This window comes from Homo sapiens, chromosome 1, assembly GCF_000001405.40.
Source record: "Homo sapiens chromosome 1, GRCh38.p14 Primary Assembly".
Lineage (NCBI taxonomy): Eukaryota > Metazoa > Chordata > Mammalia > Primates > Hominidae > Homo > Homo sapiens.
In genome coordinates this window covers 51,884,260-51,906,331 of record NC_000001.11, presented here as the reverse complement: position 1 = coordinate 51,906,331, position 22,072 = coordinate 51,884,260, and the positions used below count along the sequence as shown (strand labels likewise).

At 42.6% G+C, this 22,072-nt stretch overlaps 1 annotated feature.

The window, feature by feature from the left end:
* Positions 7,806–9,005: an enhancer, noted in NCBI's record as "P300/CBP strongly-dependent group 1 enhancer chr1:52362999-52364198 (GRCh37/hg19 assembly coordinates)". NCBI's record gives its function as "activates an origin of replication core promoter dependent on BRD2, BRD4, P300/CBP, MED14 and CDK7 cofactors, with strong dependence on P300/CBP, by STARR-seq in HCT116 cells {active_cell/tissue: HCT116}" and the evidence as "EXISTENCE:reporter gene assay evidence [ECO:0000049][PMID:35650434]".

Below are 22,072 nucleotides of genomic sequence, written 5' to 3'. Positions count from 1 at the left end.
TAGGGTGCTGTTTCCACAAGAGAAGAGAAGAGAAGAGAATAGATGTTGTCCAGGCAAACATACCAGCTAGTCACAGGAGCTACAGAATCAGATCATTCCACAAAAGACATCCAAAAACTGGACTGAGAATGAGAATGGGTTATACCCTCAGGATATGGGGATGGAAGGAATAGGATGGGTAGGAATGTGGGGAGGGGCAGAGTGGAAGCAGCCAGCTGAGGGCAGAGTAGTCGAAGGTCAGTACATATGATTGAACAGGCTGTGTCCTGCTGAGTGGGCCAGAGGGAGGCTAAATCGGGGTTGAAATCAGCCTAGATTCCAAGTGCAAAGCCTTGGGTCCTGGTGTGGAGCTGCACTAGGAGAAAGGGCTCTTTGGTGTAATTCACACAAGGGTGCTGTCTCCTCACTAAGCCATGAGCATAGGGGCAGCATCCATCCAGAGCGGGCACAAATGTCTCCATTCTGCACAAAGATGCAGTCATGGGTTGAATTGTATCCTCCCAAAAGATATGTTGAAGCCCTAACCTCTGGTACCTGTGTGTGTGACCTTATTTGGAAATAGCATCTTGGCAGATGTAATCAAGTTAAGATGAGGCCATACTGCATTTGGGTAGACCCTAAATCCAACGACTGATGTCTTTAGAAAAGGGATGAGAGGGAGATTCAGACAGAGGGACAAAGGGAAGAAGGCTTTCCAGGGATGGAGTCAGGGATTGGAGCACTGCAGCCATGAGCCAAGGAATGCAAAGGATTGCTGGCAGCCACCACAGGCAAAGAGATGGGCATGGAGCAGATGCTCCCTCAGAGCCTCCAGATGCATCCAGCCCTGTTGACACCTTGATTTTGGACTTCCAGCTCCAGAACTGTTAAGAGAATCTGTTTCTGTTTTTTGAAGCCACCTAGTTTTGTGGTACTTTGTGACAGCAGCCCTAGGAAAGGAATCCAGGTGCTATATGAGCTAGCAGCAGGCTGAGAGTAAAGCTGCCGCCCGCCCTGCCTCCTCAGTGTCCTGGTGGAAGATAGAAACACTTGAGGTACCCAAGAGATCCCAGCAGAAGTATGAGGGCCTCCTCATGGGCACTACTGCCTGCAATATCCTGGAAGTGCCTGTTTCCTCTACCTTCACACACAAAGTAAACAGTATTTTGAAACTATAGGGCTACCAGAAAAATGAGAGTCAAGCTTTCATTGGTTTGAGAAGATGACTAGGGCACACTTTATTTATTTATTTATTTATTGTTTATTTTGGGGGGCACACTTTAGATGAGAGCCTCTGCATATACTATTCTTTGTACTCCTCTGTCCACCAAGCTCAGTTAGGTACCTCCTCTGGGAAGCCACAGCCCCTTTTCCTTTCCTTTGCCATAGAACTTCCTGTGCCATATTGTAATTTTCTGGTTATCTGTGGAGTAGATTGTCCAATGATGCAGAATACATTTTCCTGTGAAGTGAAACAAATAAGCAGTAGGCAAATAGCCATTAAGGGGTCTGGGGACCTCCTTAAACAAAGGAAATGAGACTCCAGTAGCTTCACCAAGATGCAGAATTGTTGAAGTGTGTTAAGGTAAACCACAGTGGCTCTGAACACAGGCCAGTAGCAGGAACGGGCAACAAGTCCCTGGAATGTCACTTCCTTAGAGAAGTGACCCTATCACATACCTTCATCTTTTTGTTTTGTTTTGTTTTTTGACGTGGAGTCTTGCTCTGTTGCCCAGGCTGGAGTGCAATGGCATGATCTCGACTCACTGCAACCTCTGCCTCCCGTATTTAAGCGATTCTCCCACCTCAGCCTCCAGAGTAGCTGGGATTACAGGCATGTGCCACCATGCCCGGCTAATTTTTGTATTTTTAGTAGAGACAGGATTTCGCCACGTTGGCCAGGTTGGTCTCGAACTTCTGACCTCAGGTGATCTGCCTGCCTCGGCCTCGCAAAGTGCTGGGATTGATTACAGGCGTAAGCCACCACGCCCGGCCTACCTTCATCTTATTTTGTTTTCTTCATTGCATTTATCATCATGAAATTATTTTATTTGTTTCATGAAATTTCCGTGATAACAGAGATCTTGCCTGTTTTGTTCACGCAGTACTGTCAGAGGCCTGGGCAAGTTACTTAGCCTCTGTTTTACTTAAAACCTCTGTTACAAAATCTCTCATTGATAAATGTACCAACCCCTTAGGGTGATTCTGAGGATTAAATGAGTTAATATTAGAACTTAGATCAATTCTAGCTAACATTTATATTGCTCTTACTAGGTTCCAAGCACTATTCTAAGCCCTTTATATATTCATCAATTTAATCCTCACAACAACCTTATTAGACAGGTTCTATTATTATCCTTATGGTAATATTATTATCCCCAATTTATGATGAGGAAACAAAGAGGACAGTTAATCAGCCTAAGGTGATACAGTTAGTAAACACACAGCTGGGATTGAACTCCCAGAGTTTCCACCCTTAACCTCTACATTGTACTTCTGCCTAGTATAAATCCTTCTTGAATGAATACAGTTACCAAGAAAATGGAAATAGATGGAAGCAATGAACTAACTCAGGAATCAGGACAGGTATTGAAGGGGAACAGTGGCTTGGGATGTGTCAGTGATACTGGAATTTGCATCTATTCTAACGGAAAATGGCTATGAGGGTCAATTTACAATGCAGTAAGGAGGAAGGAGCAAGGTAATTCTTGGCTGAGTGTAGCACTGGAGTAGGGTATTGTCTTCCTTCACATCCTGAAGAGCCTCTGAAACCTGGGCAGGGATTCACACTGATAGCAAGAATACGGACTGGTGCTGGAAACACAGCCCCCATCACATCTCATGGGACACATTCAAAGGAACCCACTCCAGCACTGGCAGTAAGAGAAGCAAAGAAGAGGACCTCTCTCAACCATCCACGTTTCAACCTCCTCTGGCCTTGGCAGCTGCACCCAGTGTTTTATGGGATACTACTGGGAGATCCTTTAAGATACAGAGTGTTAGGTGACCCAGCTAGTTATGTGAGTCTTTGCCACCACTAGTAGTGAGCTTCTGGAGGTTGGGGAAGAACGTTTTGTTTCCTTTTCAATCCCCGGGTCCCACACAGGTTCTGGCACATTGAGGGTATCCAATACCCATTTTTTGAATGAAGAGAACCGAATGCTTATTCTGAACAGATGGGATGATACCTAGACAAGGAAGTTGCTGATAACTTAGACGTTTTAGCTGAAGGGTAGTGGTAATGATGGTGTTTTGGAAGGACATTGAAAGAATGGAGAAATCATAGTCTAGCTAGTTCTAGAGAGGTGTGTGAAGAAAACTGTTTAATCCATCACAAATTTAAAGTCCTTCCTGGTCCAAGGTCTTATTTAAATCCTTTCCTAAAATCTCTGCAGTCTGCTTAAGTTGGAGAATTCTTTTCCCTATTTTTATTCAAGAATGAGTTGGTAACAGTAAACAGAGTCCACTATTGCACACCTATTGGAACTGTTTTTCTTTTCTTTTTGGGGGCGAGGGGCAGTGTCAGGGTCTCACTCTGTCACCCAGGTTGGAGTGCAGTGGTGCAATCATAGCTTACTGTAAACTTGAACTACTGGGCTTAAGCAATCCTCCCACCTCAGCCTCCCAAGTAGTTAGAACTCCGGCACATGCCACCATGCCTGGCTAATTCAAAAACAATTTTTTTGAGAGATGGGATCTCGCTATATTGCCCAGGCTGGTCCTGAACTCCTGGCCTCAAGTGATCCTTTCACGTCAATCTCTCAAATTACAGTCATGAGCCACAATCCCCAGCCAGGGAGCCGTTTTTCCAACTCCCAGCTTTTGCAAGAGCTGCCTGAATAAAAATTGTGCCTATAGAAAGGGAGGCCTCTAGCCCCTCCTTAATGGTGTGCTTCTGCTTTGCACAGTGGATATATAGGATGTCTTTGAATCAGCTATTAATTGTCTACATTAAATACTTGGGTTGTCTCTGTATGACTCAATAAACCAACTCTTTAAAAGAACAGTAGCTAAAAATAAGTAGCTATTTTCAACATAGGTGTGTGTGTGTGTGTGTGTGTACAATATGCATATGTATATATATATATATTTTACCCATCACATGAGCAGATTTCTTTACATTATATTAAAAATATGATTCTAGAAATACTTCTGTTCCATAAGACTGCTCAACCTCAGCAAGTTAGATCTGCATAAATATCTCTTGACTACTAGGATCAGCGTCACCCCTTTCCCTTCCTTCACTTGTTCCCTCTTCCAAAGGACTCCACTTATCTTTGTTTGTGCTGCTATAACAAAATACCCAAGACTGGGAAATTTATAAATGGTACAAATTTATTTCCTCACCGTTCTGGAGGCTGGAAAGGCTCCATCACAACTGGTGTCTGGTGAGGGCTATTCTCTGCTTCCAAGATGGCACCTTGTTGCCGCAACCTCTGGAGGGGAGGAATGCTGCATCCCCACAAGGTGGAAAAAACAGAAGGGGCAAAAAGGGCAAACCCTCTCCAGGAAGCAAGCCCCCCCTTTTTTTTGAGATGAAGTCTTGCTCTGTCGCCCAGGCTGGAGTGCAGTGGTACAATCTTGGCTCACTGCAACCTCTGCCTCCTGGGTTCAAGCAATTCTCTTGCCTCAGCCTCCCAAGTAGCTGGAACTACAGGCACCCACCACCACACCTGGCTAATTTTTGTGTTTTTGGTAGAGATGGGGTTTCACCATGTTGGCCAGGCTGGTCTCGAACTCCTGACCTCAGGTGATCCGCCCACCTTGGCCCCCAAAAGTGCTGGGATTACAGGCATGGGCCACTGCGCCCGGTCCCAGCAAGCCCTTTTTTTTTTTTTTTTTTTTTGAGATGGAATCTCACTCTGTTGCCAGGCTGGAGTGCAGTGGCACTCAGGGAATAATTTCCTAGGAGTACTGAGTCATTCATTCATTCAACAAATATTATAGAGTACTTACTATGTGCTTCATATGATGAGAGTAACTAAGGATAAGAGTATGAATCAGGACTAGTGGAGCTTGGCGGGGAGAGACATATAAACCAATAAATGTGATATCAGAGTTAAAGACAGTCATAAAAACAACAAAAGTACTGTGGGCATCCAAAGGAAAGGAAGGGCTGGTTTGATCTCAGGGTTGTCCTCAGCCACAGAGGATGGCACTTTAGAGCTAATATTTCTAAATTCCAACAGGCGCCCCCCTGTTTCTCTGGGATGATTTATTAATAAAGATTTATTAAGAACCAAGTGTGGTGGCTCACGTCTATAATCCCAGCACTTTATTTGGGAGGCTGAGGCAGGTGGATCACCTGAGGTCAGGAGTTCGAGACCAGCTTGGCCAACATGGTGAAACCCCGTCTCTACTAAAAAAAAAAAAAAAAAAATTAGCCAGGCGTGGTGGTGGGCGCCTGTAATCCCAGCTACTTGGGAGGCTGAGGCCTCATCCAGCCCGGGTGACAAGAGCAGGACTTCATCTCAAAAAAAAAAAACAACAAAAAACCTGGCACGGTGGCTCATGCCTGCCATCCCAGCACTTTGGGAGGCCAAGGCAGGTGGATCACCTGATGACAGGAGTTTGAGAACAGCCTGACCAACGTGGTGAAACCCTGTCTCTACTAAAAAAATACAAAAGTAGCCGAGCGTGGTGGCAAGTGCCTGTAATCTCAGCTACTGGGGAGGCTGAGGCAGGAGAATCACTTGAACCCAGGAGGCGGAGGTTGCAGTGAGCCAAGATCGTGCCATTGCACTCCAGCCTGGGCAACAGAGCAAGACTCAGTTTCAAAAAAAAAAAAAAATCTGTATTCATAACCAATGCATCTCATTGCTTCTTGCCCTCAATTGATCCTCCTGGGATTAGCAACAATCTCTCTGAAATTTCTTCATTTTTCCCCATTCCATTGATATTGCTGCAATTTTTTTTTTTTTTTTTTGAGACGGAGTCTCGCTCAGTTGCCCAGGCCGGAGTGCAGTGGCACAGCTCACTGCAAGCTCCGCCTCCCAGGTTCACACCATTCTCCTGCCTCAGCCTCCCGAGTAGCTGGGACTACAGGTGTCTGCTACAACGCACAGCTAATTTTTTGCATTTTTAGTAGAGACGGGGTTTCACCGTATTAGCCAGGATGGTCTCCATCTTCTGACCTTGTGATCCGCCTGCCTCGGCCTCCCAAAGTGCTGGGATTATAGGTATGAGCCACCGTGCCCAGCCTATTGCTGCAATTTACACCATCAACTTACCTCACCAGAAGAGCCTAGTAGTTAAGAACACAGGTTCTGGAAACAGACTATGTAGATTTGAATTCTGGCTCACTAGCTGTGCATTTTTGGGAAAATTACTTAATCGCCTTAATCTCTCTATATCTCAGATTCCACATCTGTAAAGGAGGGATACTTCTTAGGGTTGCTGTGAGAATTAAATGAGTTAATATATATAAACTGCTTAGAAGAATGCCTGGGAGGCAATAAATGCTAGCTACCATACTATTCTTGGTTTCTTTCTGTTTCAGAGTCCTGCAGGAATCAGATGGCACACTCAAACTAGATAATTTGAGGAGTGCTTAATAAAGGAATCATTTACAAAATGAGTGCAGGGTTTAGAGAGACCAAAAAGGGATACAAAATTTCCCCAGTGCTAGCTAGCAACAGCTAGCTAATCATCACTACCCAAAGGTAGTAACAAGGGATGTGGGGGGAGTGATTTGATTACCAGAATCTGAAGAGGGCAGTTGTGTGGCAGATGCTGTCTGCTAAGAGCAGTGACCTTTGGTGGAGAGAAATGTCCTCACACAAAGACTCGCTAGGGAGGGAGGTGGGGGATAAATTATTGGACCTGTCTTTCCCCATGACCTCTGATCTCCTACTGCTATCTCCCAATGCCGGACTCAACCAAAAGCCAGAGGGCAAAGGAGTCCAGCAGGAGCCCACATAGGTCAAACTTCTGGGATATGCAGCAGGTAAGTAGAGGGAGTACAGCAGGTCTTCGAATAATGTCATTATGTTCAACGACGTTTCATTATAACGTTGATGAAAAAAATAGATTCCTGGCAGAGGCCACCGTGTGTGAAGTCTGCACATTCTCCTCATGACTGCGTGGGTTTTCTCTGGGTACTCCAATTTCCTCCCACATCCCAAAAATGTGCACATTAGGTGAACTGGTGTGTCTAAATGGTCCCAGTCTGAGTGAGTGTGGCGTGTGGGAGAGTGTGCCCTGTGAGGGAATGTCGTCCTGTCCAGGACTGGTTCCCGCTTTGTGCTCTGCTTCTGGGATAGGCTCTGGCGACCTGTAACACTGACCTGGAATAATTGGGAAAATAATTATCTTATACTTGTTTTTATTAATCTTTCTTAAATGTATGTATAGCTCACATTTATTATATTTCAAGGTTTAATATTAGAAGTGTTTTGGGTCTTTATTTAGATGTTTGATGTTTCGTGACCAGAAATATGCCATAGGAACTTATTTATATCAATTAGCCTACAGCTAAATTGATTTCTTTATATATTGTTTCCCTTAGTCACGGTTTCCAAGAATCTATCGATGACATTGAAGACTTACTGTATCTGGAGATGCAAACAGAAAATATCTAGCACACCTTCCCCCTAGCCTTGCCCTCCTCCGTTCTTTGTCTTGCAGTCATGAATGATCTTTCTAAAGCAGGAAATGATATTGTTCTGCCTCATCTGATGCATGTTGGTAGCTCCCCCTCTCTCAGGATAAAGTCTATACTCCTTAACATAAAATGCAGGGCTTAATAATTATCTCCAGTTCACCCCTCCAGTTTTAACTCTCGCCATTTTCCTCTCAACCTTTCCGGTTGAGCCATATGCAATTACTTTCAAACCTACAAGAGCATTCCTTTCTTTGACCTTTCTCATGTCCTGGAACTCTGCCTGGAATCATCCTTCTCCCCTTTCATTCTTCTTCACTTAACTAATTCTTACTCATCCTTTATTTATACATAGAAGGGGTTTCTCTTACCCAGCTAGATTTTGGGGGAATCTAAGCTCTGTTTCTGTGGCAATGCTTTTTTTTTTTTAGATGGATTCTCGCTCTTGTCACCAGGCTGGAGTGCAGTGGTGCAATCTCTGCTCATTGCAACCTCCGCCTCCCAGGTTCAAGTGATTCTCCTGCCTCAGCCTCCTGAGTAGCTGGGATTACAGGCATGAGCCATCACACCCGGCCAGTAGCAATGATTTTCTAAGTTCTGAAAGTAGTGGCATGTTAAGGCTGATATTTGGTAGTATTTTCATCTTTTATGCGGATTTTTTTTTATTCTCATGAGGTTCTAATTATATATGATAGGTACTTAGCCTACAAGGCGGTACTGAAAGTAATGAGTTGAGTTTTTAATGAGCTTATCAATATATAACTTCAAAGGGCTCATTTGAAAACCACTGAAACCTAATCTATATTCCTGGAATCTTGGGATGCTAAGATAGACTTCTAGGAGTCTTATTTACATTGAGAAATATGGGAGCTATTTCCCATATTTCCCAATGAGAAATATGGGAGCTATGATAAGTATTCCTTTTGGAAAGATGACTGGGCTCTGACAGACAGGAAATCAGTCACATGAGTGGAATGTAGACAAAACCTGCTTTTGGTCTGTGGGCTGAAGGATGAGAAGAAAATAAAATGTAATAAAGGTTTGTTTTTTCAAAACTATATAGTCATCTTCTATGTACCAGATAACATATTTTCTCCAAGTAGAAGTGAATTCACAATATTAAAGAACTTCTAGGCTGGGCACAGTGGCTCATGCCTGTAATCCTAGCACTTTGAGAAGCCGAGGCGGGAAGATTGCTTGAGCCTGGCCAACATGGTGAAACCACCCACCTCCCCCAAACTCCGACCCCCACAGAACCTCCCCACTTCCCCCACTCCGTCTCTACAAAAAATACAAGAATTAGCTGGGTGTGGTAGCACATGCCTGTGGTCCTAGCTACTTTGGGGGGCTTAGGCAGAAGGATGGCTTGAATCCCAGAGGTAGAGGCTGCAGTGAGCTGAGGTCGTGCCACTGCACTCCAGCATGGGCGACAAAGTGAGACCCTGTCTCAAAACAAAACAAAACCAAAACCAGAACAACATCTATTGAATGCTCCTTTGTCTGACTCTTTTTTTGACAACAAAACCCAAAACAAACAAACAAACAAACAAACAAAAAACCCCAAAGGCTCTCATAATGGAGGAACATGGGTGGTGGTTTAAAGGGAGATAGGATGTGTCCTGGCAAAATCAAGATGGAAAGTCTGCTTCTTCTTCCCCCTTAAGACCAAACATTCTTGTTGAAGAAGACACCCACTTCTGTGTCTCTAGCTCCACCTTGAGGTTTATCAAGAAATCACCTATTCCGGCCACAACGGGTGAATTAGGTTAAAAAGAGCCGAGATCTTTATGCTGTGCCAACAGCTCTTGAACTTGTACTTTGGGCCAGGCTCTGTAATAAGTGCTCTTTGAACATAATGACATTTAATCCTCACAATAATCTTATAACAAATGTATTTTATAATGAGGAAAATTAAGATTAAGAGAGTTTCAAGAATTCAGGACTGGTATAAGATCACACAAGTGGCAGAGTCAGGATTTGAACCCAGCATCTTCTAGGCCTTCGTTTTCGTTCACAAGTGTCTGTGTATACACTCATGTGCACATCTATCACACATGTTTTTCTTTTCCTTTACAACACACCTGTACATCAATCATTTTATTTAATTCTCACAACAACTCTATTAAGTGGGAATTAATATCCCTTTTTGGAAGAAGGTGAGGCTTAGAGAAATAACCTAATTTTCCCTAGGTCATATGGCTCTTAAGCAGTGAGTTTAACCCAGGGCTCCTTTCTCAACTATATGAATAACATGCAACTTCTCAAGCTGACTTGTGATGACTCCTCACAACTTCTTGTCAGTAGCTCCTTGATATTACCAAAGAATTCATCTGAAGACTTGCAAAACCCCCTACTTTAGGAGTGACACTGTAGAACATAATGTCCAAACAAGACACATGTACAATGAGAAGAGTACAGTAAAGCAACATTAAGACGTGGATGAGGTGGGGCACAGTGGCGCACGCCTGTAATCCCAGCACCTTGGCAGGCTGAGGTGGGTGGATCACTTGAGCTCAGGAACTCAAGACCAGTCTGAGAAACATGTTGAAACCCCGACATTACAAAAAATACAAAAATTAGCCAAGGATGGTGGTACACATCTATAGTCCCAGCTACTCGGGAGGCTGATGTGGGAGGATTGCTTGAGCTGGGGAGACAGAGGGACTTGGATGCTATAGGAGATTGACTAGGCTGATTTACTTTTCCCACATTTTCCCACAGACCAGCATCATGGTGCATGATCTAAACTGGCCCTGTAATGTTAAAAATTATTCCAGGTCAGGGACCACTGGGGTTCATCACTTTTGATTAATGGAAATGAATATTAATATTAAATCCATTAAATTCAAAATATATTTAGTGATGGTATGCTCCTACTGCTTGAATTTGCATTTTCTTTCTTTTTTTGTGTGATGTCCTCCTTTTGCCTGCAAACACTTTCTGTCCTTCTGCCAATGAAACAGAAAATTTGAGAGTTGTGAGATAAATGGTAACACCAAGTGCTGGAGGAAAGAAGACAGGTATCTGTCTGTACCTGGAGAGCAGGAGAAAGTTTAGAAACAGGGCTAAAGGACTAGGAAGTATTCTCTAGGTATAAATGTCTGGGTGTTAGGGATGGGAGAGAGTTGAGAGGACCTTCCAGGAAGAGGGAAAAGAAAGGGCAGATACAAGGAAGTCCGCACACAGAGTGGTGTGAGTAGGTTGTGTGGCTCCTGATGGTTGAAGTTTAAAATCAGAAGGGAGATTTGAATAGATGCTTACTTCTCAACAGGCTGCTCTGTTTTCTAAATATACCAGAGCAACAGTAAATAAGCATTTAATGCAAAACTTGCCCTCTTAAAACAGTGACTTTGGGATCATCAAAATTGCATTGTAACTGAAGACAACAGAAGCACAGGGGAGTGAATAGATGACCTCAGGACAGCTTATTCTGGGCTGAGATAGAATACAACATTCTCTCTCACTGCTTTTTTTTTTTTTTTTTTAAGTTCTGGGATACATGTGCTGAACGTGCAGGTTTGTTACATAGGGATACATATGCCATGGTGGTTCGCTGCACTTATCTAACCATCATCTAGGTTTTAAGCCCCGCATGCATTCGGTATTTGTCCTAATGCTGTCCCTCCCCTTGCTCCCCACCCCCTGACAGGCCCCAGTGTGGTGTTCCCCTCCCTGTGTCCATGTGTTCTCATTGTTCAACTCCCACAAACGAGTGAAAACATGCAGTATTTGGTTTTCTGTTCCTGTGTTAGTTTGCGGAGAATGATGGCTTCCAACTTCATGCATGTCCCTGCAAAGGACATGAACTCATCCTTTTTTATGGCTGCATAGTATTCTATGGTGTATATGTGACAATTTTTTTTATCTAGTCTATCTTTGATGGGCATTTGGATTGGTTCCAAGTCTTTGCTATTGTAAATAGTGCTGCAATAAACATAAGTGTGCACATATCTTTATAGTAGAATGATTTATAATCCCTTGGGTACATACCCAGTAATGGGATTGCTGGGTCAAATGGTATTTCTGGTTCTAGATCCTTGAGGAATCACCACACTGTCTTCCACAATGGTTGGACTAATTTACACTCCCACCAACAGTGTAAAAGTGTTCCTGTTTCTCTACATCCTCTCCATCTGTTGTTTCCTGACTTTTTAATGAACGCCATTCTAATTGGCGTGAGATGGTATCTCATTGTGGTTTTGATTTGCATTTCTCTAATGACCAGTGATGATGAGCTTATTTTCATAGGTTTGTTGGCCACATAAATGTCTTCTTTTGCAAAGTGTCTGTTCATATCCTTTGCCCACTTTTTGATGGGGTTGTTTGTTTTTTTCTTGTAAATTTGTTTAAGTTCCTTATAGATTCTGGATATTAGACTTTTGTCAGATGGATAGATTGGCAAAATTTTCTCCCATTCTGTAGGTTGCCTGTTTAGCCTGATGATAGTTTCTTTTGCTGTGCAGAAGCTCTTTAGTTTAATTAGATCCCATTTGTCAATTTTGGCTTTTGTTGCAATTGCTTTTGGTGTTTTAGTCATGAAGTCTTTGCCATGCCTATGTCCTGAATGGTATTGCCTAGGTTTTCTTCTAGAGTTTTTATGGTTTTAGGTTTTAAGTTTAAGTCTTTAATCCATCTTGAGTTAATTTTTGTATAAGGTGTAAGGAAGGGGCCCAGTTTCTGTTTTCTGCATATGGCTAGCCAGTTTTCCCAGTACCATTTATTAAATAGGGAATCCTTTCCCCATTGCTTGCTTTTGTCATGTTCGTTGAAGATCAGGTAGTTGTAGATGTGTGGCATTATTTCTGAGGCCTCTGTTCTGTTCCATTGGTCTACATATCTGTTTTGGTACCAGTACCATGCTGTTTTGGTTACTGTAGCCTTGTAGTATAGTTTGAAATCAGGCAGCGTGTTGCCTCCAGCTTTATTCTTTTTGCTTAGGATTGTCTTGGCTATACAGGCTTCTCTTTTGGTTCTATATGAAATTTAAAGTAGTTTTTTTCTAGTTCTGTGAAGAAAGTCAATGGTGCTTGATGGAAATAGCATTGAATCTATAAATTACTTTGGGCAGTATGTTCATTTCTACGATGTCAATTCTTCCTATCCATGAGGATAAAATGTTTTTCCGTTTGTGTCCTCTCTTATTTCCTTGAGCAGTGGTTTGTAGTTCTCCTTGAAGGGGTCCTTCACATCCCTTTTAAGTTGTATTCCTAGGTATTTTATTCTCTTTATAGCAATTGTGAATGGGAGTTCACTCATGATTTGGCTCTCTGCTTGTCCATTATTGGTGTATAGGAATACTTGTGATTTTTGCACATTGATTTTGTATCCTGAGACTTTGCTGAAGTTGCTTATCAGCTTAAGGAGTTTTTGGGCTGAGACTACGGGGTTTTGTAAATATACCATCATGTTATCTGCAAACAGAGGCAATTTGACTTCTTCTCTTCCTTGAATTTGCATTTTCAAGGCAGTCCATAAAGTGGATAACCCAAATGAATGAATTAACGTTTAAACCACAGGCATTTGATGTAGGCCCTAGGAGTAGCTGTTGGTGACAAAATGGTGTAATGGAAAAGCTGTGAGCTTTGTAGTAGGACCTAAGACTGAATTCCTGCTCTGCCACTTGCTAGCTGTGTGTCCTTGGGCAAGTTATTAATGTTTCTGGCCTCAATTTCCTTACCGTTGAATAAGGAGTCAGTGGACTCAGAGGATATTAACTTTTGTAAATCCGTCTTATTTTTCACAGAAAGTAATTGCTAAAGTTGGTATACCAGTAAACGAATTGTCCTGTTGGAATCTAATGACTGATTTTCAATAGATGGAAGGAGTGGTCACACCATGAGTTAAGGTGCGAAAGCACTCAGGAGACCTTTGGGAAGTGAAATTTTAAAGAACATATACACAATAGGCAGAATAATGGCCTCCCAAGGATGTCTACGTCCTAATTCCTGGAATCTGTGAATATGTTAAGATATATGGCAAAGGAGAATGAAAATTGCTGAAGAAATTAAGGTTACTAATGAGCTGAATAGGGAGATTATCTTGGATTATTGGAGTTGGCCCAACGTAATCTCAAGCATCCTTAAAAGTAAAATAGGCCAGGCATAGTGGCTCACGCCTGTAATCCTAGCACTCTGGGAGGCCAAGGTGGGCGGATCATGAGATCAGGAGATCGAGACCATCCTGACTAACACGGTGAGACCTGTCTCTACTAAAAATACAAAAAATTAGCGGGGCATGGTGGCGGGCACCTGTAGTCCCAGCTACTCAGGAGGCCGAGGCAGGAGAATCGCTTGAACCCGGGAGATGGAGGTTGTAGTGAGCCGAGATTGTGCCACTGCACTCCAGCCTGGGCAACAGAGCGAGACACTGTCAAAAAAAAAAAAAAAGTAAAATAGAGAGTCAGAGGAAGATACACTATGGAAGAAAGACAGAGAGATGCAGTGTTGCTTTGAAGATGGAGGAAGAAGAACACACGCTAAAGAATGTGAGCAACATCTGGAAGCTGGAAATAGCAAGGAAACAGACAATCTCCTGGAGCCTTTAGAAAAGAATGCAACTCTGCCGACCCCTTAATTTTAGGCCAGTGAGAACTGTGTCGGACTTCTACAGAACTGTGAAATAATACATTTGTATTGTTTAAGCCACTACGTTTGTGGTAATTTGTTACAGCAGTAATAGAAAACTAATACAACCCACATAAGTCCATCACTGTGTCCAGACTTGTTACCTGTTTCCTATAGTGGAGTGGAAAAACCACTGGACTTGGAAGCTGTGGGGTTTTTTTTGTTTTGTTTCTTGTTTTTTGTTTTTGAGATGGAGTCTTGCTCTGTTGCCCAGGCTGGAGTGCAGTGGCACGATGTTGGCTTATTGTAACCTCCACCTCCCGGGTTCAAGCAATTCTCTGCCTCAGCCTCCCGAGTAGCTGGGATTACAGGTGCCCTCTGCCACGCCTGGCTAATTTTTATATTTCTAGTAGAGATAGGGTTTCACCATCTTGGCCAGGCTGGTCTTGAACTCCTGACCTCGTGATCCACCCACCTCTGCCTCCCAAAGTGCTGGGATTACAGGCGTGAGCCCCTGCGCCCAGCCAATGCATCCTATGCATGTAGGAAATTATTATTTACAGTGCCTGATACATAGTTGGTATGCAAAAAGCATTTGCTAAGTGAGACTAATTATTACTTGACAGTCCTTGGGATGTGGAAATGTGATTGCAAAACATGTGTTAGGTACTTTGGGAAGGAAAAGAGATCATATATGGCATCTACTCCTAAATTAATTACAATATAATTAGGGAGGCAATATTCATGAGAAGATTTAAACAGGAGTTCAAAATTTATATAAGACAATAGTACAAGAGAAGTCACAGGTTATATATGATTTACTGCCAAGGAAATGATACCAACAACATGTATCCCAAGTTCAGGTATGGAATGGATATGGGCTGTAATAGTCAAAGTTCAGGTATGGAATGAGTGTGGGCTGTAATAGTCAAAGAAGGCTTCTATGAGGAGGTAGGTCAACCAGACTGGAGCACAGTAGGATCTTGGAGAGTGTGGGTAGAGGAAGAATAATCACTACTGTTACCCCCACAAACACCATTTTTCTGCCCCCAATTTCAGGAATTTACATTGTTCATTTAAGACACTGATAGTTCCAGTGTTTCAAATGGTACCCTTTTTGTCTCCCTTCTGTAACATTTTTCCTTTTAATTTTGAAATAATCTCCAACTTACAGGAAAGTAACAAGAACAGTACAAAGAAGTATTTTTTTCCCCTCTGAACCTTTCGAGAGTAGGTTACCCCTATGATGTTCCATCATTCACAAATTCTCAAAATCAGGAAATCAACATTGATGTATTACTATCATCTAATCCACAGAACCCATTCAAGTTTAAGCAGTTATCCCAATAATGTCATTGAAAGTGATGCATTTAGTTATGTCTCATTAATCTTTAATCAGAACAATTCTTTAGTCTTTCTTCGACTTTCATGACCTTGCTACTTGTAAAGATTATAGGTGAGTTATTTTATAGAATATCCCTCAATTTGATTTGTCTGGTGTTTCTTCTTGATTAGATTCAAGTTACGCATTTTGGGCAGGAATAGCACAGAAGGCATGCTGGGTTTTTCCTCGTGACATACTGTCAGGCTATAGCAATTTCAATTTGTCTCCTTACTAATAATATTAGTTTACAGATTAAGTGGTGTTTGCCAGGTTTTTCCACTGTTAAGTTATTCTTTGTCCCTTCTTAATTAATAAGTATTTTGTGAAGAGGTACTTTGAGACTATGTAAATATTCCATTCCTCATCAGATGTGTACCAAGAAGTTTAGCATACATAGATGTTTCTTGGTTGATTTATTACTGTTATGGTTGCCAAATGGGGATTTTCTAATTCCATCATTGCTTGTACATTTATTGTTGGTATTATACTGTAACAAAAAGTTTTCTTCTTTCATTCATTCATTCAGCAGTTTAGACACATTAATTCCCATTAATACTATTGTTATTTATTTTGAGGCTCAAATTGTCCACATTCTGGCCCTGGGAGTGAGAGTCCCTCCAAGCTGGACTCTGTGTCTTTTTGATATGTTCTCATTATTCTATGAATACTTCTTTACTTTGTGGCTTAGCAAGATGTTCCAGGTTCATCTTGTACCTTCTCTGCCCTAGCCTTGGAATCAGTCATTTCTCCAGGAAGCTTTGGTTCTTTTTATTGGAAAATGGCCTTTTAGTGCAAAATGCATTTGGAAACCAAAATGGAGGTGTTAGGTATGCTCATTGCTGTTGGGGTGTCACTGCTCCTAGGTCCTCTTAGTGAACATAGCTAGAAAATATATGTATGTATATACATACTCACATACACATACACACACACATTTTATTATTATTTTTGAGACAGAGTCTTGCATTGTCACCCAGGCTGGAGTGCAGTGGTGCAATCTCGGCTCACTGCAACCTCCACCTCCCGGGTTCAAGCAATTCTCCTGCCTCAGCCTCCCAAGTAGCTGAGACTATAGGCGGGTGCCACCACGCCAGGCTAGTTTTTGTATTTTTAGTAGAGATGGAGTTTTGCCATGTTGGCCAGGCTGGTCTCAAACTCCTGACCTCAGGTTATCCACCCACCTTGGTCTCCCAAAGTGCTGGGATTACAGGCATGAGTCACTGCGCCCGGCCACACACACACATCTATGTTTTATTCTATGTCCACCTATTGCAAATCATGAGTTTACACAAATACCTACAATTCCAATCCAACACCACAGAGTTCATTCTAATTTTCTGCTTTTCCATATTTGTAACTCCTTACATCTACAGTGAGAAGCCTGGATCCCATCTCCCATTATCCTCAATATATTTATTTATTTGGTAAATCACCCGTTTGTAACCAATCTCCCATTGTTACTGCGGCCCTCACCTCTCCCCTCCTCACTCTGCTTGGATTCGGACACTTTGCACTATCAGCCTATGTGGTCACCCTCTTTAACCGTGCATGCTCTAACAAATATCATCATGCTGTTACCACACATGCTGGACACAGGTGCCAGGCTTGCTTAGCTCTACCTAAGTAAATGATTTTTAGACACAATTATTTAGAAGGTAGGCAGGCTGTTGGAAAGCCAGATGCTTTCTTAATGAGAGTTATCAACTGTCATTTTCGTGTACATGTTATAACATTTGTTACTGTGCATATTACATTTAAAGCTTAGACTGGGGGGTTGGCTGGGCACAGTAGCTCACACCCTATAATCCCAGCACTTTGGGAGACCAAGGTGGGCAGATTGCTTGATCCCAGGAGTGCAAGACCAGCCTGGGCAACATGTGAAAACCTGTCTCTATAAAATAAAATTAAATAAAGTAAAGCTTAGACTTGGGGTTAACTACAGCAGGGAATATCAATGATCAAATTAACACATCATAAGTCTATTTATTCTAGGTATGTGACAGGCAACATGTAAGAGATGAAAAAATATAATCTTTGGAATCAGACACTCATGGTTTGCAATTTCAGTAGTCCAACTTTCCTATTGTTGATTTTGTGCAAGTTATCTAACTTCTCTCGACCTCAGTTTCTTCATCTATAAACTGGTGAATAACATATTTAGGTTGCTGTGAGGATTAAGTGAGTTAATGAAAGTAACAGTCTTAGAGGCCAGGTGTGGTGGCTCATGCCTGTAATCCCAGCACTTCGGGAGGCTGAGGCGGGCAGATCACCTGAGGTCAGGAGTTCGAGACCAGCCTGACCAACGTGGTGAAACCCCGTCTCTACTAAAAATGCAAAAATTAGCTGGGCATGGTGGCAGGTGCCTGTAATCCCAGCTACTCAGGAGGCTGAGGTAGGAGAACTGCTTGAACCCAGGAGACGTAGGTTGCAGTGAGCTGAGATTGCACCACTGCACTCCAGCCTGGGCAACCGAGCAAGACTTCTTCCCCCCAACCCCACATCCCCCCAAAAAAGAAAGAAACAGTCTTGGCACAAAGTATTACAGTTACTCAAGAAACAGAAACTACCAGCTGGGCTTGGCTTCAAGACATGTGAAATTTAAACAAGCAAAAAAAAAAAAAAAAAGAAAGACAAATATCGCATTTACCAGTTCCCATGAAAGCAGAACATTCTATACTACTACCTATCCTTTCAGTCCCAACACTGACTTTCTATCATGTTTCAAAACAAAACAAAACAAAACAAAAAAGGAGGCTGGGGACTATTAGAAGGGAACTCTTTTAAATTCCTGCTGCTTCTTTCTGCTTCTTTCTTCCTAAAACGATGTAAAATTTTTGCTGCATTTGCACCTATCTGTGTATCTTTCCTTCTGGGCCAAATGATAATGGTGTTCCTCTACAATTTAAGGCTAATCCCACTCTTCTGTCTCTCCAGGGATCTTGAAACTTCAATTTCCTGTATCATTCATTCATCAATTTGACAAGTATTTGTTGAATACCTACCACATGCCAGGCCCCATTTTTGACTCTAGGGATGTAGTGGGGAACAAGACAAATGAGGTACCAGCTTTCTCATGGGCCTATAACATACAGAGGGTATGTATAGATAGTAAGCTTTTTTTTTTTTTTTTTGAGATGGAGTCTCGCTCTGTCACCCTGGCTAGAGTGCAGTGGCACGATCTCGGCTCACGGCAACCTCCGCCTCCCAGGTTCAAGGAATTCTCCTGCCTCAACCTCCCGAGTAGCTGGGACTACAAACGCCTGCCACCATGCCCGGCTAATTTTTTATTTTTAGTAGAGACAGGGTTTCACCATCTTGGCCAGGCTGGTTTCGCACTCCTGACCTTGTGATCCACCCACCTCCGCCTCCCAAAGTGCTGGGATCACAGGCGTGAGTCACCGCGCCCGGCCTAAACAGTAAGCTAATAGACAAATAATATAATTTCAGATGATGAGTATTATTTTAATTAATTATTTTGAGACAGGGTATTGCTCTGTCATCCAGACTGGAGCACAGTGGCATGATCATGGCTCACTGCAGCCTCACCCTCCTGGGCTGAAGCAACCCTCCCACCTCAGCCTCCCAAGTATCTGGCATGTACCACCACACCTGGCTAATTTGTGTGTGTGTGTGTGTGTGTGTGTGTGTGTGTGTGTATTTTTTGTAGAGACGGGGTTTCACCATGTTGCCCAGGTTGTTCTCAAACTCCTGGCTTGAGCAACCCACCCGCCTCGGCCTCCCGAAGTGCTGGGATTATAGGTGTGAGCCACCGTGCCTGACCATGAGTACTATTTTAGATAGAATAAGAAAAGGCCTCTCTTAAGAGTGACATGTTTTCTGACATATGACTGGTGTGAAGAACTCAGCTATGCAAAATTTAGAGTAAGAACACTCCAGGCAGAGAGGCAGAGGTAATGGCCCTAAAGCAGGAACTACTCTAGTGTGTTGAAGGACATTAAAAAGCCAGTGTGACTGGAGCAAAAAGCTGAATGGTAGATGAGATGGTAGACTTAGAGGAAGGACAGAAATAATTAATAAGCAAGCCATATAAGCGATAGCAAGAGGCTGGATTTTATTCAAAGAGCAAAGGAATGCCATGATGGGTTTCTTAAAAGCGAATAATATAATTAGATTTTTAAATATTATTTTGTGTCTTTACATTCTTCTTTCCAGGCAGAGTTTCAAAAAATATGTATCTTTAGTCCAGAGATGAGGAGCAACTTAGCTTGATTTGTGATAAAATAATATTTCATTTGTCACATTTTTTAGAGTCACTCCTAATTTATCACGAAGTTTTGAACATCAAATTCTTCTAGAACTATGTTTATAGTATAGGAGAAAACTTTTTTTTTTTTTTTTGAGACAGAGTCTCACTGTGTTGCCCAGGCTGGAATGCAGTGGTGCAATCTCAGCTCACTGCAACTTTTGCTTCCTGCGTTAAAGTGATTTTTCTGCCGCAGCCTCCCAAGTAGCTGGCATTACAGGCATGAGCCACCATGCCCGGCTAATTTTGCTATTTTTAGTAGAGATGGGGTTTCACCATGTTGGCCAGGCTGGTCTCGAACTCCTGACCTCAGGTGATCCATCTGCCTTGGCTTCCCAAAGTGCTGGGATTACAGGCATGAGCCACCGTGCCTGGCTGAGAAAACTATTTCTATGGTCACACAAATTGCTTGGTATATTGTGCACACATTCAGTTTCGGGGGAGAAGACTCCATAAGAACATGCCTACTTCTTGACCTAGATACAAAGCTGCCAAATGTGGATAGCAATCAGTGGGTGGGACAATTAATAACCAGAGCTCCAAAGGTATAATTTCTTAGCGCATGGGCCCTGGACAAAATGTTGAAGTGGGTAATATTTCTCTTGTTACCTACCTCTTCTTTCTGTGTCTTTCCCCCTAGATTTAGCAATCTCTTCACCTACCCCAGATTCATAGTGATCTGAAGTTGCCTAGAGTGTGCTTCGAACTAGAGGAAATAAAACATATCCATTCACAAAATGGGTTAGTTTTTCAATCCTTTCGAGGGTGTTATTGGCATTTAACAAGAGTTATAAAAAGGGACATAAATCACTAATGAAGGAATTTTAGACATTAAAGCAAGGGGGAGATAATTTGGGGTTTGAGATGTTAATGGGCTCATACTATTCCAATCTACTCAATGTAGAGTCAACATTCCACATTTCTGCCTTATCCTGACTTTCAATTATAAAGATGGATAATTAAGAATAATTTATCTTTTAATTTTTAAAAGTAAGGCTGAGGCTGGGCACGGTGACTCACGCCTGTAACCCTAGAACTTTGGGAGGCTGAGGCGGGTGGATAACCTGAGGTCAGCAGTTCAAGACCAGCCTGGCCAACATGGCAAAACCCCGTCTCTACTAAAAATACAAAAAATTAGCCAGGTGTGGTGGTGCATGTCTGTAATCCCAGCTACTTGGGAGGCTGAGGCAGGAGAATTGCTTGAACCTGGGAGGCAGAGGTTGCAGTAAGCCGAGATCACGCCATTGCACTCCAGCCTGGGCAACAGAGTGAGACTCCATCTACAAAAAAAAAAAAAAAAATTAAGGCTCAGATCTGTCCCTTTTGCATTGACTAAATTAACTTTCAGAGGCAGGGATCGAACACAGAAATGAGCTGTTTTTAATTTTCATGATTTCTAAACTTTCACCAGAATAATAGGGAGACAAGGCTCACCAAATCTGATGGGAGGGAAATCCTTGAGGTAAAAATGGAAAGGAGTTTAAGGTGGCTGAAGACGAAGTGGAAATGTAAAAAAGCCTTTAAATACTGTACTCTCAGAAAGTCTGTCAGGGTCTGAAACCGAAGAAATATTAAGAAATTAAAAAATAAACTTAAAGAAAAAGTCTGGGTTGAGCCCAGTGGTGCACACCTGTAATCCCAGCACTTTGAGAAGCCAAGGTGGGAGGATTGCTTGAGGCCAGGAATTCAAGACCACCCTGGGCAACATAGTGAGACCCCCATCTCTTAAAAATAAATTAGCTAGGCATGGTGGTGCATGCCTGTAGTCCCAATTACTTGGGAGGCTGAGGTGGGAAGATTGCTTGAGTCTAGGAGGTTGAGATTGCAGTGAGCTATGAATACACCACTGCACTCTAGGCTGGGTGACACAGAAAGACCCTGTCTCAAAAAAGAAAAGAGAAGGTCTCGGAAAATGAGGTTAAAAATTACAGTCTTGTACTCTTTAACTTTATTGGGGATATCAAGTTCCTTTTAACTTCCTGATGCCTCAGTTTCCTTTTTTTTGGAGACAGAGTCTCACTCTGTTGCCCAGGCTGGAGTGAAGTAGCACAGTCTCAGTTCATTGCAACCTCGGCCCTCAGTTTCCTATATAATAGTTATACTTTCGCTGGGCACAGTGGCTCATGCCTGTAATCCCAGGATTTTGGGAGGCCGAGGCGGGCAAATCACTTGAGCCCTGGAGTTGAAGACCAGCCCGCACAACATGGACCCTGCCTCTACAAAAAGTACAAAAAATTAGCTGGGCATGGTGGTGCATGCCTGTGATTGTGGTTCCAGCTACT